Below are 20,345 nucleotides of genomic sequence, written 5' to 3'. Positions count from 1 at the left end.
GTTGTTGTTGTTGTTGTTTACAATCTTTCAGACTTGTTTCTGGAGCAACCACTTATGAGAAATGCTTTGGCAGACACACAGTTCTTAGCCCCCTGTAACAAAGCTGCTTCCAGTGCTGAAACCAACATTAAGAAAGAGAGAAGAAAGTCATTCAAAACTGAAACGAGGGTGATGGAGATGTGAACTAAGAGGCAGATGACAAATGGAAACATATACTTGCTTAGCAAGTGCCTGCATTGTACTGTATAGCAAAAATAATGTCAGTTAGTGAATCAATAATAGGAGAATGGGGAAGGAGAATGAATAAGCAAAAGAGGTAGCTAGAAGTAGACACAATTCTGGGAAGGTAGGTTGCTGCTCATGGGAAACAGCACATTCTAATTACTATAATTTAAAGAAAAAAAGAGTTACATTCTCTAATGACAGTCTTTGGGGCATCTGCATACACAAGTGAGAACATTTCTTCTTATGACTCTCCGAGCACTGAAGGATCTCCTTGTGAGGAAATTAGCTATTCTGAGAATATGCATTCATATCTTGCAATATGGAATTTTTTTCATTATCTTAAAAACAACCAGAGCAGCATTTTCTTATAAATAACTCATCATCTACTGTGGCTTCTGAGGTCATCTTTTTGTCACATATGCAGGAAGCCAACCATTCACCACACTGTAGTGTATTGTAAACTGGACTCTCTCATTTCTTATTCATGATGAAGACCTTAAAAAAGATTTCATGCCCCCTTGTCTCACATGTACAATGGATGAGCTCAATGACATTTCTGTTGTTTTCTTACCCATAGTCCATTTTCCTTCTGATAACAGCCTTAAGCATGTCCTTTAGACTTTTGTTCTTTTCCCATATCAGAGGAAGATACTCCAGGTGTGGAGAAATTAGGCAGACATGGCTCATCACAACCCTTAGATTGGTGTATGGATGAAGTCAGGCCAAAGAGAGCTGGCTCTGGGACTTTTGCTAGAATTTGGTGGAATAAAAAGCCTTCTTTCTGCTGGGATTCCTATCCCAGTAGGATGTTAATTTGGGACTGAAGTGTCCATTTTCACGCTGGAAAATTAAGCCCAGCTAGAGAAAAGTAGACACAAGACATGGAGAGAGAAATATTTCTAGTGGTAGTTTTTAAGTACCAGGATTCAGCTATGCCTGAAAAAGCCATCTCCCCTGGACTTTTCAGTTAATTTGGATAAGTTCCCTTTATGCTTAGGCCAGATTAAATTCACTTTCCAATTGTTTTCCGCCAAAAGATTCTTGAGTACTCAAGCATTTAGGACCCAACACAATTAGCTCAAGTTCCATAATCCATTGCTCCAAGACAGCGTGCTTGCCAACATTTCCTGTCATCAGTCCTACAACATTCTGCTGCCAGAATCATATTGATCTGGGAAAGGAGGAGGTATTACTTATAAAGACAATTATTATGAAGGTATGTCATAATTTCTTGAAAATATCAATCAAAATAATCATGTATGAAGAAAAAAGTTCAAGACATCTTTTCATCCCCTTCCCTACTTCAGCCCACTCCATAATTTACCCCATGGGTACATCCAAATATGTTAAGCTCAATTATAAAAGTAAGTGTGTGTGTGTGCGTGTTGGTGTTGAAAATTGATATAAATTTTAAAAGCAAAAACTGTTAGGGAGATACATTCATACTTACGGATGTAGATAAGTGTGCACAAAATATTATAAAATTTTTAAAATAGATGCAAGTCATATGAATAGTATGATCATCCCTTAATAAGGAGTCACCACAAAGGAATCTGTTCCACAAGCCCCTCTCACCCTTCAGTGAGAATTTGAGACATTATGTAATCTTGTCCCACTTTTTTTTTTTTTTTTTTTTTGAGACAGGGTCTTGCTCTGTCGCCCAGGCTGGAGTGCAGTGGCACAATCTTGGCTCACTGAAGCCTCTGCCTCCCAAGTTCAAGTGATTCTCATGCCTCAGTCTCCCAAGGAGCTGGGATTACAGGTGTGCACCACCACTCTTGGCTAATTTTTGTATTTTTAGTAGAGACGGGGTTTCTCTACATTGCCCAGGCTGGTCTTGAACTCCTGACCTCAAATAATCCACCTACTTTGGCCTCCTGAAGTGATGGGATTACAGGCATGAGCCACCATACCCGGCCTTGTCCTACAATTTTTTACTTATTTATTTGATTTAATTTTGCTTTACATTATAGATCACTGCCTACATATTTGACTAGTTTCTGGACCATAAGCACTTTGAAAGCAAGAAGTGAGTTTGATTTATCTTTGTATTCTCAGGATTTAATTTAGTGGTTAATTTATGTTTTTAGATTAATCAATGAGTGAGTGAGTCATAAAAGTGATCAGAAATCTCATTGATAAATGTTTTCCTATTCTAGAGTGAATTTAAACATGGCTATGCTGACATTAGCCTGTATTTTTATGTAAGCTCATTCTCTCAGAGTTCTCCTTGTATTAGAAACCTTCCAATTCTTTTGAGAGGGCAAACATTCGTCTGAGTTCACCTTGTCCTTAATCACTACAGAATGACGACAGGAAGAAAAGAAATCAAACTAAGATGCAATTATAATATCCCCTGAAATACCCAGCATTGGCTTCAATTAATTAACTAAATATTTTAACCTAGACTCATGTTTTTCTAATCTTTATCTGTGCCTAACTAATAAAGGATTCTTGGCTTGTTCTCCTGTGCCTCAACCTCTGTCTAGTAACTTGCCTTATATTTCATTTATTTCCTTTCACTTCTCTTCACTCCCAGGTTTGGAATTGGAATTTCAAACTGATGGATGGTGACATATTAGGAGCCACAGACTTCTAACTGCTTGCTCAGGCTTCCAATATTGCTGGTTCCTGGATTCCCATCAGCTCTGTTTAGTCTCCTTAATACTTACTGCCATATTGCACTGCCAGCTCCTGTCACCCACCTCATAGGGGAGGCAATATAGCATGATGGGTAAACAGCCAATATTTAGAATGAAGCCTTCATCCAAATCCCAGTTCTACCACATGACAGCTGTGTAATTGTGGGCAAGTTATTTAACTTCTCTATGCCCATATTTTCTGTAAAATGGGATTTATAATTACATGCACAAAATAGATTTTATAAAGGGATGTTGTTAGTGTCCTCTTTCATCTGCATTTCCTCCTCATGCCAATTATTTGCTTCATTCCTTTCTAATGTTTCCATGTTCTTTCTAATATTATAGTTAGCAAGAAGTCTACAAACCTTATTTTCCATACTCTCTTGTCAACTTACTTCTGGTTACCGTATTCAAGAGGAGGCTCCAGTGGCTCTGTTAATAACTTGGAAGATGAGCGGAAGAGAAAAAACATTATTTTTCTACTTCTGATGGTACCCAACAGCTGCTGCTGCCAATTCTGGGCTGTAGAAGAATCCAGGGCCTTTTCAGTGGTATTCAGCAGGACTATAAACCCAAGCAGAAGTTGCTTAATCCCAACAAGAGCAGCAATGGCACCGCCTCCACCACATCTGTTATATTTTTTTAAAAGTTAAGAACATTACTCTTATGCAAATACAAAATGAATACTGTCAAATATTTTATTCAACTCAGTAATAAGAAAACTAGCAAGATGGTAAGGCAGGTTCAAAGAGAGAATTTGGAAATGAATATGTATAGAGTCAATTACTCAAAAGAATGAAATGAATTTGCTAATAGATACAAATTTGGTTAACATTCTGCAAGGCAAAAATTCATAGCCTTTGATGCTATCTTTTCAACCAGACGCAAATTATTTGTATTCTTACCAGAGAAAAATCTGCGAGTTAAGATGTAACATGTATCTTTATTAAGTCTAGACAAAGTACATTCCCCCAAATTTCCTTGGACAAATCTCAGAAGACAGTGAAAAAATGTGCTGCCCTACTTTTTGCCTCATTTCCAATTTTTGGATAATGCTTTTTGAACAAAAATAAGAAAAAATAATGTCCTTGTTATACAATCACAGCTATAGGACAAGTCTCCACAAATCCAGAAAACCCTTCAAATTAGTAATGGAGCCATCATTGTTCAGATGAGATGTAGAGGGCCTAGTACCTATTTAGAGTATTGTCAGTAATACATGAGAGTAATAATAGATGCTACTATTATTTTTATTACAATTTACTAGCCAATTAGAATAGATAGAAATTAGAGCTGTTTCCATAGTCTCTAACCCATTTTGATGGTTAATGCTAGTATTAGGGCTGGTCCCTCTTCGGATGTTTGTTCTAGTTAGTCATGTGATGTCCTGGAATGTCGTAAGAATTAATGCAGAAGTAACTGGTAACTTGCTCAAGTAATTAGAGTGTCAAGGAAAGAACTGTTGACTCATTCATTTTGTGATTTTTCTGGGTCTTTAGGAAATGTACTATAAAATCAGAGTCAGATGGAGGAGTTATAGCTAAGCTGTACTGTACACTTGCCCAGAGAAGACTGCTTTCTCAGTGGGTGGTCAAAGTGTTCAGGCTGCTTCATCTTCTCACCACATTTTTATGGCACTGGATCCAGACCCACAGTTCCTAGGGAATGTGGGTACAAACTGAATAGCATCTGGAACACGTTGTTTTCCTAATAAGAAAAGGTGATTAACGGCCAGGCGCGGTAGCTCGCGCCTGTAATCCCAGCACTTTGGGAGGCCAAAGTGGGCGGATCACAAGGTCAGGAGCTCAAGACCAGCCTGGCCAATATGGTGAAACCCCGTCTCTACTAAAAATACAAAAAAAAAATTAGCTGGGCATGGTGGCACACGCCTGCAATCCCAGCTACTTGGGAGGCTGAGGCAGGAGAATTGCTTGAACCCGGGAGGCGGAGGTTGCAGTGAGCTGAGGTTGCACCACTGCACTCCAGCCTGGGCTACAGAGTGAGACTCCATCTCAATAAAAAAATAGAAGGAGAAAAAGTGATTAACTGAGGATTGGAAACATTCAAGAAAACTCTTGACCCATAGGTCTATATTAATTCGAGAGGAATGACTCAATGTGAACATAAAGAAATGTGTTAAGTGACAAGAAAGCACTCAACTCTCTGAATTCAATTACAGAATGTTGGCCATTCTTCTTCAACAATGTTTTCAGGGCATTTTAAATCATCAGCACTTTTCTTTTAGTCTGACTCTAATCATTATTTAGACCCTTTGCATATTCTTAGTCCAACCTCCATGGCTGGGTGCAATAATCACTATCTGAGGCTCCATGTGGGATGTGTGTGTAACCCTTGCTCTTGGATTTGACTAGTTCTGCTCCTAATTAGGCATATAACTTAATGGGCTTAAGATTTTTAGTTTGGAAGCTTGGCCCCAGATCTGCCTGATCTGATACATATATAGCATTTCCAGCACACACAGCAATACCAGCAACTAAACCCCAGCTTTGGCTACATGCTTCATTTCTGACTTCTGGAAGTATGAAAGAATCCTGTCTTGTTTCTCAGAATTAGAAATTACTCCCCTCAACCCAGTACTGTTGCTGATTCCATTTCTGTACAGACAAGCTTCCTGGAATTCAACTATTTTCCTAGATCTTGAATAATAATCTGCTGCTGGATAACTATGGTCATTTCTAACCTGCCTATTCTTAAAAAATATACCTTATAGATCTCCCCATCTTGCTTCCTGGACCCATTTTTATTTGAGGCTTTCTAGTTGTCATCTTTGCCTGCCAAATGAATTTCCTCCATCTTTTCCTATTTGACCAACCCTGAAGCATTACTGTGGTGATTCACTGGTCCTGACTTCACCTGATGTGACTCTTTTATGCTCCTGAATGAGCTCCATTTAGACATTGACAGTTTTCCATAGGGAAAAGAAGAGAAATAGTGATTAACACGGTTTGTGGCATACAGAGTCCTTAAATATGGGTTGCCTAGGTAACATAAATGAGTAATGGGGTGTCAAGGACCATAATGCTGTGTAACTCTAGAGACCATTACTTACTTACAATCACCACGAACACTGCTTTCTGGCATATCACAGACAAGCGGTCCTAATGGGGACTTATATACAGCACTACCGTGATTGTTGCTAATTCTCTTTTTGGAGAAACTCAGAAATTTCTTTTTTTTTTTAATCTCACAATTTAGAAAATGTGGGCAACTTATTCAAGATGTTTGCAACACCGTATTGCCTAAAGAAAATATGACAGTCAGCACGATTTGGCCACTATAGGCCACCAATGTGTGAGTCAGCTACCAAACGTTCTCTAGAGATGAAGACTATGGTACAGGAACCAACTTGTGTTCTTCCAAATCTGCCCCCTTTGTCATGTTAGATAACCTGGAATTCTCACCTGAATAGGATTTTTCTATTTTACTGCATTATTAATAGTCAACATTTTTGTTCAGACTAAAATATTACTTTTTAACCAGACATTCAACATAGGTAGTTTCCTTTTAGAATTGACCTATTAGGATTACAGTGTCATTATATCATATTGAGTATCATTGTAGTTTACCTAACACATTTAAAAAAAAAAAAACTCTTTGTGTGTGAGTGTATTTTGATAGGAGACTTGCTGATTTCTGACTGGTTGAATTTGTTTCAGTTTGACTTCTTTTTAAAATTTGATAGTCTTACACATATATGAATACAGATTACACTAATCAATTTTACAGTAAAGTAATACATTATGTTTTTATTTATGTATTATGTAACATAAAAATTTTAAACTCTAGACCTGAAAGGGTTTCAAAATGTTCAATATAAGACCTATGATCTATCAATCAATGTCTTTACACTTGAGGCCCTAGTGTAGTTCTCAATTTTTCCTCTATCTTACTGAAAAGGTAACTAGAGCATGAAATGGGGAGCCAGGCATTGAATAAAGTAAAACTTTGGCCCCTTTCTGAGGCAGGGCTAAGCTGCATATAACTCAAAGCTATCCTTAGATAGGCCCACCTAATGTGAACTGGCCCATTTTTCCTGGGAATCAGTGCTGATAAGTGATTGATAAAGTATTCCTGTCACCGTAATATCCCATGATATGCTAAACTTTGTTTGGAGGGTAAGCCAATTTGAATAAGGAGTTAAAAGGTTTTCTGAAGAAACCTAACGAGCCCTTTCAGGTTTTAAAGTTCATTTTTGTTGTTGTTGTTGTTAATCCTTGTTGGGTTTGGACCAACTTGTTGGGTTTGGTTAACCAACAAAAGTCTGCTGGTTGGAAAACCTACCAAGGGCCTCATTATCCAAGGGTAATTCACCGTAAGTGAAAAAAAAGGTAGATTGGGCCTACACATTTGTGAGAAAAGATGGCTTCCTCCAAATATAATGCTTTATGGCACTATATTTGGCTGAGGCTTGGAAGCTTGTCCAGATTCATCTACCAAGCATAGAACCATGTTTGGGGGAGCAATGGCTGACCTCAGAAGCGTAAACTAAGATGCAGTAACCTTGGAGGCCAAGCATGGGGCACCACTGCATCCTGTGTCAGCAAGGGTGTCATGTGCCTGGACCAGCACCTCTGATATCAGAGTCCCACAGCCACATGTTGTGACAGTGTCCAAACCATCAGTGCTAGAAGACTCACTGGATTTTGTCCTTTTCTTTGCCTGGCATTTGGAGAAGGCGTTAATCCCTACAGACAGAATAGGCCCAGGAGGGAAGAAAAGAGGATGGGAGGGAGGGAAGGAGGGAGGATGGGAGGGAGGGAGGGAGGGAGGGAAGGAGGGAGGGAGGGAGGCAGGGAGGGAGGGAAGGGAGGGGAAGGGGAAGGGGAAGGGGAAGGGGAAGGAAGGGACCCAGACATCCTGATAAAGTAGGTAGGTGAGAGTCTCAGAGTTCCCATACTCCAGAGTTCTGATTTGTGATGACTGTTTCTACTCCAAACTGATGAATTTATGCATTCCAGTGACACATGCTTGTTTAATATAAAATATCTTCATGAAAGAGTCTAGCATATATTGACATTCCAGTAAGGTGTAGCACATGGCTTCAAGGAACTATTGTAATTTTGCTATGAACACTCAGGACCTAACCTGAGATGCTCAGAGTAAGGTTCGCAGCCTGGATTTTAACCCCTTCTCTGCTCTGTAGCAGCTGCAGGTAATCTCATCTCTCTAAACTTTAAATTTTATCTATAAAATGGGAATAATGTTGTTATTGTGAAATAAGGCATGTAGAATTCTTAGTGCAGTGCAGTGTCTATCAATATTATAACAAGTAATTCTAAAATGTCAATTGTTATGGGTTACTTGTATTAACTGATGCAATACATGACTTTCTGTATCAGACATTTGAATCATGTGGAAAGATATTACACAATCAAGAAGTTATTCCCAGTGAACTCTTTCGCAAAATCAGTTTGTGGTAAAAGACACAAATTCTTTCGGAAAGCAGTTTGTGTCAGAGACAATTTGTAAAAATTGTTGGCTGCTGCTAATAGCAATCTCAGATGCTATGGGAGTCATTTTACGTAAACACATGTAAATAAGTGATGAAAAGGAGCTGACAGAGGTCTTTCAAATAAAGTGCAGATGGTCAAATGGAGAGCAGAAGTGTTAAGAATTACAGTATGGTAAGTAACTATGTGCACCAGGTCAAGACTTGCTTTGAATGCTGGTCCAATTCCATGAGCGGCAAAATATATGAGAAGTGCTGTGGGGGAGAATCCTGTTCTCTACTACTACATTTTCTTTCAGCTTATAAAATGTTCATGTGTTTTTGACTATTCTCCTTCCTTCACTGATACCCTGAACTGTCAGAGAAGATTCCTTCCTCCCTCCCTTTCTCCCTCCCTCACTCCCTCCTTCCCCCCTCCTTCTTTCTCTCTCTTTCTTTCCTTTCTTTTTTCTTTCTCTAGAATGGCTCTCAGATCATCTACTGTCAGCACTCTCCAACTGGCCCCCTGCCCTCACCTCAGGAATCCCCTAAAGCTCCACTTTATCCTCACTATGAGATCCGAAGCCAATCCTGCCTTTAGACTAGGGGGATTAAATAGGCATAAACCAAATAGTTTAATCTTTCATCCTCAGGTGAACCTGCACTGCTTCTAAATCTCAGATGAACTGGGAGAACAGAGATCAAGGAACAGGTATAGGGAGAAAGAAAGAAGACAGCACAGAACTTCCTTCCTCAAGCCCTCCAGGGTGTGGAATCCAAATTCAAATTCCAGTCTCTGTGATTGGGTCTCTGCCACCTTATCTAGCCTTATTAAACTTTAAACAATAAAATCAAAGAGGTAATTTATTAAGCAGTATCTCTATGCTATGTGCTATACAAAGCACTTTACCTACGTTATCTCATTTAATTCTTACAATACCTTTCACAGGCCAACTTATTATTATCCCCATTTTCAGTTGGAAAGAAAACCTGAAATTAAAAAAGACATTACTTGCCCAAAGTCTCACAACTAGAAAGATGCCAATTCAAGATTGGGTCCAAGTTTGTCTAACTCCAAAGCCCAACTCCAGGTATTGAGTCTTCCTCAGTTAATTCCACTTTTGAATTTGTTTGCTTCCCACCTCATGTCCAGATCGTTGCAGCAGCTTGGTAACTAAGGTCTTCACTTTGGTCCGCTCCCCACCCCAAGCTATGCCATATATACCAAGAGGTGCCTGGAACCTCCTCCTGGCCTCCTGCCTGAGCATAGGTCAATAATAAAAGGATTTAAATCAATACAGGGTCTTGAAGTTACTTTGTGCTGAGTACCCTGGCATGTTCTTCATTCCTTACATTCTTCCCAGTATCAGAATTTATTCAGGAGCCCCAAACAGAGCTGCAGTCCTCAGATACATTTTAAGCAATATGAACAAGGAATAAATCACTATTTTATGAAATATTGAGTCATATTCCTCCATAAAGAATATTCCTATGAGAAGATCATTCATTTTTATCACCTTTATTCTTTTAGCAGTTTCTTGTGCAATTAACTTACGTAATTTTACCAGCTGAAAGCATAGATAGGTGAAGCATGCTGATGCCAAATTTTCAGTGGTGATAATGCAAAGGATCTGGGATTTACCATAGCAGAAAGTTCAGAACCTACTCTCAGGATTGCTTTTTCAAGCTTATAAAAAGGCATGCAGCTTCTGCATGTAAGCAAACTGCTCCAGCTTTCCAAGGCCCATTAAAGGTCTGGGCTTCTTGTTAGTAGACAGTCCTCAAGAGGCTCCTGAGGGAGTAGAAATAACTAAAGACAACCATGGGGTACTTGTGACTCTACATTACAATAACAAACACCTTTAATGTCATCACATTAAAATTCTGAAATTACAGAAAAGAAAAAATATCACCTATCATTCTACTCCCTAATATAACTACCATTAAAATCTTATGTGTTTCTTTTTTCCTGATTTTTTTCTAATTGAAATAATAATGCTGATAAAGATACAGATGAGCAATTCATAAAAGAAGAAATATAAGCAGCCAATAAGGGCATTTTACTGGTAATCAAGAAAATTAAAAATAAAACAATGAGGCATCATTTATTGGCAAAAATCTAAAAGATTGAAAAATTCCCTTGTAAATACAGGCAGTGCTATATTTCTTTTTCTTTTTTTTTTTTTTGAGACGGAGTCTCACTCTGTCACCCAGGCTGGAGTGTAGTGACGCAATCTCGGCTCAATGCAACCTCCGCCTCCTGGGTTCAAGCGATTCCCCTGCCTCAGCCTCCCGAGTAGCTGGGATTACAGGTGCCCACCACCACCCCCGGCTAATTTTTGTATTTTTAGTAGAGACAGGGTTTCACTATGTTTGCTAGGCTGGTCTCGAACTCCTGACCTCAAGTGATCTGCCTGCCTCGGCCTCTCAAAGGCAGTGCTATATTTCATTTGTTGGAGTATATATTGGAAAAAGGTTGTCGGGGGAAAATTTGGCAATATCTGTTAAATTCTATGTTTAAGTATCATCCTTCAGAAATATTCAGACAAGCTCACAAAAATAAATATACAACAATGTTCCTTACATCATTCTTGCAGAATTTAAAACATTAAAAACCATCTAATTCTGCATTAGTAGAAAAATGGTTAAATAAATTACAACATATTTATATTGGGGAATTCAATAGACATTTAAAAATATGAAGCAATGTTAACAATAGCAGTGTCAACTAGGGAAAAACTTTGTAACACATATCATTAAATAATAAAGGCATGTTGTAGAACAACAGATTTGATATAATCTCATTATGAAAAAAATGCCACATGGACATGTATATAGGAAATGAGAAACATTCACAATAGTTACATTTGGAAACAAAAATAATATTAGAGAGAACCACAAAAAGGGATTATTACTTTTTTGAGTTTTTCAAAATTTTAATAATGAAATTATATATTTGTATTTCAATTTTTATAATGTAACTCTCTACCTGTACTTTAATATCAAAAGAAAGAACTTATAATGTTTAACAAATATCAAAAGAACTTACAATATTTATATAATTTTAGATATTGTCATGTTCATTCAGAATTATACCCAGTCATTCTCCCTGCTTTTAGCAACCAATATTTTAATAATGTATAATATTTTGTCCACTGAATGTGCCACTTTACATAACAATACTCCTGATGCTGGACTTTCACATTGTTATCAACTTTTCACTGTCAATAATGTTGCAATACATATCTTTTTGAGAGATAGGGTTTTAAATTTTCTTTATTTTGAAATAAGTTCTAGGTTAGAGCCCCAGGATGGGATTAGTTGGTGGAAAATTAAGAATCCTAATGCACTGAAGACTCCTATTGAAACCAAGAGCAAGATACTGTTGGTCTTGACCACTATTGACAAGAAATCTCTACAAATATCAAGGGCTTTGTCTTACTTCATTAGTTTCTCCCTTTGTACCTTCATTTGACTTTTAAATTAACAATTCAATCATGTTGCTGCCGTCTCGAATTTTGCAACTGAGCCCAACTCCAACACTGTAAGGTTCATGAAGCCAGGTGGCAGGATGATGGCTTGTTTTTATCATAATATGCCAGCACACAGACTTTAACGTCAACTACTTGCTATTCCAGAAAGCAATCTCCAGTGAGTGAGGACAATGCTATAGAACATCTTTTCCCAGAAGGCAATGAAGTTGCTCAGCCAGAGGAATCTCTTGTGGAAGAAAAACCTAATAAAGATTGAGTTGCCCCAGGAAAGCTGTTCTTCGTTTTGGAACAAGGTGTATCTTGAACTATATGAACTCAATCTCGGAGAAAACCAACTGTGTTGATGCAGTCCAAGACAAACATATTCACTTTTTCTTTGTATTGTTGTTACTTTCCCCTGCATATCTAATCCTTTAAAGTAATATAGCAGTTCTTAAAAATTTCCGTTAGTTCATTCTCTGAAAGATGTACAGTTAGGAAATACTTGAGGTTGGACCCCATATTGGGAATCCTAGGAAGTAAGAGTTTTCATGATACAGTTATGTACATCACCAGCTAAGGACTTTTCTATCACAATGCCCCTATGTCAGAAAAGATTGGTTGATGGAAGTGTTACAAGGGAAAATTTTGTGGCTACACACTAGTCTGGATAAGGGCAACTGTGTACAATACTGAGCCTGATATTTCGTGTCCCATTAGCTTATGGCAGAAAGCACTTTTTGAACCTAGCCCCACTTGCATCAACTCTCCAAAGGCTCTCCTCTTACACACACCCCCACTCCATGACAGTTTTCTGCACACCAGATCCACTTCAGGTACATATACGGCTACATAGCCACCATACATTCTCTTGTTCTGGGCCTCAAGCCACTCTCCCAACACAATATCCCAGTTCTTTCTTGAACCCTCTGGAGAAAACTTCAGGGATGTTAACAAGAAATTCTTTAAGTTAACCAGTGAAACATTACTTATAGAATTAGAAGGAGTATAAGACTCATAAGTGCATATTTAACAATTACATGTAAATCATTTACAGGTTAAGATTTTGTGGTTGCTACTTAAAAAAAGTTCATCACTTAATTCTCCAAACAAGCCTACAAAATAAGATTATTGTTCATCTATTTTACAGATTAGTAAATACTTCTGTTTACTAATAGATGAAGAGGCCACTTCTTCCCATCTGTGGTAGATTGTATTTTTCAAAAATGGCCACAGCAATATTCTGGGTCCCACACGCTCTTCAGAACCTTATTAGCACTCTACCTAAAGATGCAGTCTGTCTCTCCTCCCCTCGAAACTGGAAATGCCCTTTGTGGCTGCTTTAACAGAATATGTGTCAGAAGTGAAGCTGCAACCAGGGCTATTTCATAAAAAGCAGTATTGCTTTCCCTGCCCACATCTACCTTTGGAATTTAGCCATCATGTTGAGAGAAAGGGAATCACTGGAGAGAGACCATGTGTAATTGTTCCGGACTGCACATTTGTCTCTAAGGTCCCAATCAACAGTCAGCATCAATTACCTCATATTTGAGGGAACAAGCCTTCAGATCAGTTCTCAACCATAGCCAATTTTGTGCTATCCCCCCACCTCCAGAGAGTACATTTGACAATTTCTGAAAACATTTTTGGTTGTTACAACTAGAGGGGGAGTACTAATGGCATCTCGTGGGTAGAGGCCAGGATGCTGCTAAGTATGCTACAATCCACAGCACACCACAGCAAAGAATATCCAACCCATAATGTCAATAGCACCAAGGTTGAGAAACCCTGCTTCAGATGACTCCAGCCTCCAGCCTTTGAGCCTTGCCAGCTGACATTAAGTAGAGTGGAGACAAGCTGTCCCTGCCAAATCTTGCCCAAATCACAGTTTCATAAGGTGATTTGTTTTGCAGCAATAAATAATTGAAACACCATCAATAAGTGGAAGAACTGAGTCATGTCCTCTGGTCTTTGTGATACTGAAGCTCATGCATCTTCCCATGATGCCTCAAAGGGACACAGTGACAAAGAGAACAGCAAAGAAGCTTTAGGCAAAGTGTCACCGAGACTTGTACAAGGGAAAAGAAAGAGAAAGATGACTAAGACCAAGAAGAAAGCAAAGGAGTATTTCTTGCTGGGTAACCGTACCCCACATTCCTGATCTCAAGCTCAACACCACCCCTTCTCTTCCCTGGAAAAATTGGGGAGACAACTCTGTTTCATCTTCACAAGCTCCTCGTGAGTACGCCTTTGAGGTTTGTTTTTGTTTGATGGCCCAAATACTCCTCCTATAATGTCTATCATGTGAGAGACCCTAAGAGGGCACAACTTTCATTAATAAGATGTAGAAAGATTATGTTTCCCAATTGCATTCCACCTTAGAAAGAACAGATCAGGCCAGGTGGGGTGGCTTACGCCTGTAATCACAGCACTTTAAGAGGCCGAGGCAGGTGGATCATGAGGTCAGGAGTTCAAGACCAGCCTGGCCAACACAGTGAAACCTCGTCTCTACTAAAAATACAAAAAATTAGCCGGGCATGGTGGCCAGTGCCCATAATCCCAGCTACTCGGGAGGCTGAGGCAGGAGAATTGCTTGAACCCGGGAGGTGGAGGTTGCAATGAATGGAGATTGCACCACTGCACTCCAGCCTGGGCAACAGTGCAAGACCCCATCTCAAAAAAGAGAGGGAGAAAAAAAAATAAACAAACAGATCAACCAGTCTCTTTTTTCAAACTATGTCAACCTCAGTTTCTTCATAAGACTACTTTGAATGATCAACAGGCTTCCAAATCACTTCAAAGTAGGGCAAATTCTCAGTAATGCAACTTCTGGGCATCTGTGCTAAGAAGATCATCTGAAATTTAGACAAAGATTTATGTGCAGAACCATTCATTGCAAGGTCTTTGGTAAGAGTTAAAATTTGGAGAAAAAAAATAAGTCTGACAATAAGGTAATGGTAGCATAAATTCATAATATAAATCTATAGCAGAATATCTTGAGAGCATTAATGAGCCGTTCTATTATGGGCCTTCTTTGAATCTTAATTGGTATATCTTCTCTATGCAATCGATCTACTTTCATGGCTACAATGACCACTCCTATTTCTTAAGACTAGACTTCACTCCCAAACTCAGACCCACATGTTAAAATGCATACTAAACACCTATGCACTGATGATGTACAATTTGTTCAAAGCCCATTATCTTTTTCCAAAATTTTCTTTCCTACATTCTCTGAGTAACTGATACCACCTTCTACCCAGATCTCAAGCAAGAAAAATTGGCCACATTAGTGATTAAGTCATCCGTTTCCTGCATGTCACATATCCAGTTAATCTTAGAGTCTTTAATTCTAAGTCTCTCCTAAATTTCTGCTGAATAAGTCTCAATTCTCTAATCCTATTGTCATTATTATACTCCCAGGTCATCATCAACTCCTACCTGGATTCCTCTAATAGCTCCTAAATGGATCTCATTTGCTCTTCTTTAATTCATCCCTCATGATACAGCTAAAGTGATCCTTCAGAAATACAAACTTGGTCATAGAATCTCCTTTCTTAAAGCTCTGAATAACTCACCACTGTTTTAGAAGTAAGTCTAAACTCCTTACTGGGTTTTGAAGGGCCATCCATAACTGGGTTCCTGCTTGTCTCTCCAGCCTCATCCAAGACCACTGAACCTCTCCAAATCTCTTTACAGTTTATGCTTCAACCATGCTATACCATTTGCAATTTTGTGAGTGTGTCATGACCACACTTACTTCTGGACTTTGCACACTCTTTGCTTCTAACTAGATCACTCTTCATCCTATTTCTAATCCCCATTGTCACTATCCTGGCTAATACCTACTTGTCTCTCCTTTTAATTTACTGAAAATTCTCAGCTCTCTTACTTATGGGTATTCTCATCTTCTGTTTCTTCATGGAATGCCTTTTCAAAAGACACACGTGCGCATGTGCGCACACACACACACATCCCACATCTACTATTGCACAGTGTTGTGGCCACAAAAAGTGCCTTTGAGATCTCTTACTATGGAAAACAAAATTGATTGGTAGCCAAAACTTCTCAGCTCTGAATCCAGGACCGCATTTATAGCAAGGCCACACTTCTCACAGGCTGCTCTTAGTATATGGCAGGCCCAATCCTGGGAGACAGAAGACAACTTTGACAGGTGACTTTGGCTCAACTCCCATAAGCCTTGCCAAACTGTCCTAGAATTGTACTTCACTATAAGACCTTTCTTCCTTCCATTCCTTTATTTTTAAAGAAATCATACTTGCATGATAGTCTGATGACTCTCCTAGTATCCTCAAAATTCCTCCGTTATCCCTCATAGGCATTTCCCAGCAAATATCTTGCATATCTAATCCTGTCTTGGCATCCGCTTCTCAGACAACTCATGCAAGTTGAACTGAGAGTGGTCCAAAAAACAGATAGGGCCTTGGGACTGGCTCACACACTGCCTGGTGAGTATAGAGTACAACATCTCCATTTGGTGAGTGGGTCGTGGGTAGTCATAGATGACACCTGGCACAAGATGGCAGCTCAATTGGTAAATATTTCACTAGTGGTCTGGCAAAATGTACTGGTAAAAAGGAGTGTTCATTGGCTTTGAGGAACTTTCCTGAGACATGAGCTTTGTCACTCAGACAAGGACCACAGGAAACACGGCAAAATCAATGTGAGGGTAGTTATTAGACACAGAAAAAGTAATGGCCAATGTCCAGTGGCACTGAAATATCCAAGTTGTCCTGGAAGCTGACAGAAATGGGAATAAAGAGTCTGAAGGAAGTGGGCATATTGCAATAGATACATTATGAAAATCCTGACATCCAACCAATAAACTATGTTCTAACGAGGACACATCCTCCACTCAGACCGTTGGGAATCTGCCACTGAGAGGGACACCAGCATCATTAAGGGTTTGGTTGTAGTTGTCCTTTGCAAGCAGTGCTGATGGTAGAAAAGATAGTCACAGAATTGGGCTATCTAATAGCCAAGATGATGACAGTGCTCCAAAGTAATAGAGACCAGATAGCTACCAGTAACTAGAATCTATTGTTAGTGTTAATCACCAGAAGAGTTGGAAGTTATTGGTAATCAATTGGCTCTTTTAATCTAAAAACCTAGATCTTCAGTACTGAGACATTTTCTTCCATACATTTTCCAATATATCCTTCCTACACAATCTGTTCTCTTTTTCTGTAACTCATTAATTAAATAGTTTTTTCCTCATGGATTGATCCTAAAAAATTATTTTTTCTATACATTTATCTATTCTATCGGTTTTCTGTGTTTGACCTTTTGTAATACTTCCTTAACTTTATCTTCCAACCCTTTGTTGTTTTTGCCTTTCTCATTCTCATTTTTTAATTTCTAATAGTTCTTTCTTAGTCTTTTAAAAAATTTTATATACTATCCTATTAGTATTTCATGGATACAATATCTTCATTTATCCTTCTGAGGATACAAATTATAAGACATTTCTTTTTGTGAGCTTTTTTTGGTCTTTGTTCTCTCTGAGGATTTTTATTTGTTTGTTTTCTATTTCTTTTGGCCTCTTTATTTTGAGTTGGAGATTTTTCTTAATTTTCTAGTAATCCTTTGTGTACTGTGCATATTTAAGAGAAAGATTTCAAAAATGCTGATTGGAGCTAGTCTGGGCAAAGGGGAAAGGAAGATGAGCTTTTAAATTAGTAAGCTTTGTTTTAGAGCCACTGAGCAGAAAGATGGCTTTTTAGGTAAGGGAACACAATTGTAACTGACATTGGGGCACCTTCTCAATTTTCCAAGAAAATAATCCTCTTGCCTTCAGCCTGAGTTAGGTAAACGACTGGCTGTTGTTATGGGAAAGGTATTGGGGGGGTCACATGATTCAGGACATAGGCATCCCCTAACCCTTCTGTTTTCAACTTTATCTCACTATCCTCTGTGCATGGACTTCATTTCATTGTCACCTAGGTTATAGTTTCTTCCCCGTGCTGAGTTAACTATTCCTACATTTGCTCTCTGACTTGCAAAAATTTATCATCTCGCATTTGCTTTTGTCTCCTCTCCTGATCCATTTGTACTTGTAGTTCTATGCCTTTTAAAAATCCTTTTACTAATATTTTAGTAGGGTTTCCATAGGGAGAGAAGATAAATTCATCTCCTCAATTACACTCCCATCTTTTTCTCCTGGGTTTAAGTGCTACATTCTTCATACAAAAACAATTTTATAAAAATTGGCATATAACTGGCAATGTTTTGTGGCATTTTAATCTATTCTACTGTTCCATCTAATTATGTACTAGTACCAGACTTCTAATTATCATGATTTTAAAATATATTTTTATATTTGGCAGTATAATTCCTAATCATAATTCTTCCTTTTTAAAATTTCAATATTTCTTTGGCTGTTCTCACACTTTCTAGTTTAACTTTAAAATCAAATGGTATCAAATTTATAAATCAGAGAAACTTTATATTAGTATCGTCACATGCAACAACTTAATGCAAGTCTAATTAGTAAAGTTTTATGTCTTCATTCAAATCAATACTGATTAATTTTTAAATATATTAAAAAATTTAATATCTATTTAACAGGTATCTCATGTTTGGATTTTGTTTTGAAAATAAAGTTTTAAATTATGTTTTCTTTTTTTTTTAGTGGTTCTGCCTCTATTTTTTTTATTTTTTATTTTTATTATTATACTTTAAGTTTTAGGGTACATGTGCACAATGTGCAGGTTAGTTACATATGTATACATGTGACATGCTGGTGCGCTGCACCCACTAACTCGTCATCTAGCATTAGGTGTATCTCCCAATGCTATCCCTCCCCCCTCCCCCGACCCCACAACAGTCCCCAGGGTGTGATGTTCCCCTTCCTGTGTCCATGTGTTCTCATTGTTCAATTCCCACCTATGAGTGAGAATATGCAGTGTTTGGTTTTTTGTTCTTGCAATAGTTTACTGAGAATGATGATTTCCAATTTCATCCATGTCCCTACAAAGGACAAGAACTCATCCTTTTTTATGGCTGCATAGTATTCCATGGTGTATATGTGCCACATTTTCTTAATCCAGTCTATCATTGTTGGACATTCGGGTTGGTTCCAAGTCTTTGCTATTGTGAATAGTGCCGCAATAAACATACGTGTGCATGTGTCTTTATAGCAGCATGATTTATAGTCCTTTGGGTATATACCAAGTAATGGGATGGCTGGGTCAAATGGTATTTCTAGTTCTAGATCCCTGAGGAATCACCACACTGACTTCCACAATGGTTGAACTAGTTTACAGTCCCACCAACAGTGTAAAAGTGTTCCTATTTCTCCACATCCTCTCCAGCACCTGTTGTTTCCTGACTTTTTAATGATTGCCATTCTAACTGGTGTGAGATGATATCTCACTGTGGTTTTGATTTGCATTTCTCTGATGGCCAGTGATGGTGAGCATTTTTTCATGTGTTTTTTGGCTGCATAAATGTCTTCTTTTGAGAAGTGTCTGTCAGACACTTAAATTATGTTTTCTAATGTGTTTTTGTTAATTAAATGAAAAACTGAATTTCATAAAATTCATTTTATAACATGAATTTTACATGTTGCTAATTTCTTCTAGTTGGTTTCCTCTTGAGCCACTTAGGTTTTCTAGGTACATAGTCATATCATTTGCAAATAATGATAATAGTTGTATGGCTTCCAAGAATTATTTTTATTCATTTTTTCACTGCATTATTACACTTCCTACCACTTGAAAAAGAGCATGAAGTAATGGTGGTAACAATGGACATCATCTTGTTACAGATTTGCATAGGAAAGTCTTTAATGATTTATTATTTAGAATAAATGTGCTTGTCAGTTTCAAATCAATAACTTTTATCTCTTTAAGAAAGTGATGGGAGTGACATCAGCAAGAAGACTGACTAGAGACACCTGACACTTGCCTCCCAAACGAGAACCAAGACAATGGATAAACAGCTAAGATTTGACTGCACTGTTGAAAAGAGCATTGGAGCACTGGGGGAGGTGAATGGAGACACATCTGTAGCGATTGGAAATCTAGGTGGGCAGCATGGAGGCACATAGTTCTGCAACCCCATCTTCCTGGCCTGAACCAGATCATTCTAGAGACAGGAGAGACTCCCCATGCAGCGAGAAAGTAAGCAGATGATCCCCATCATCCCCCATTGTGGCCACAAACACCTACAGCCCTTACAATGGAAGAATCCCACAGTCCTCACAATCCCTGAGGCCAGTTAAGAGAGTTGCCAGGAATTCACACAGCTGTATTGCCGTTGATTAAGAGCACAAAGTGTGCACTCATCCAGATCCCATCCAGCACCTGTGGCCAAGCTGTTACAGCTAGCACAATCTTAGATCACAACCACCTCTGGAGTGAACCTTCCCCTGGGAGCCAGTATCCACTGCACCTTTCCAGCAGTAGGGCTCCATCTTCATGCAACCAAGCCCCCATGGGTGGCTGAACATCACAATCCATCTATGCAGAGCCTAGGCACAAGATTGGTTGTGACTCTGACCCTACAGAGCAGGAAAACTAATCCCTGCCACAC

The sequence above is a fragment of the Homo sapiens genome, chromosome 3 (genome assembly GCF_000001405.40).
Source record: "Homo sapiens chromosome 3, GRCh38.p14 Primary Assembly".
Lineage (NCBI taxonomy): Eukaryota > Metazoa > Chordata > Mammalia > Primates > Hominidae > Homo > Homo sapiens.
This window is presented reverse-complemented; position numbering follows the sequence as displayed.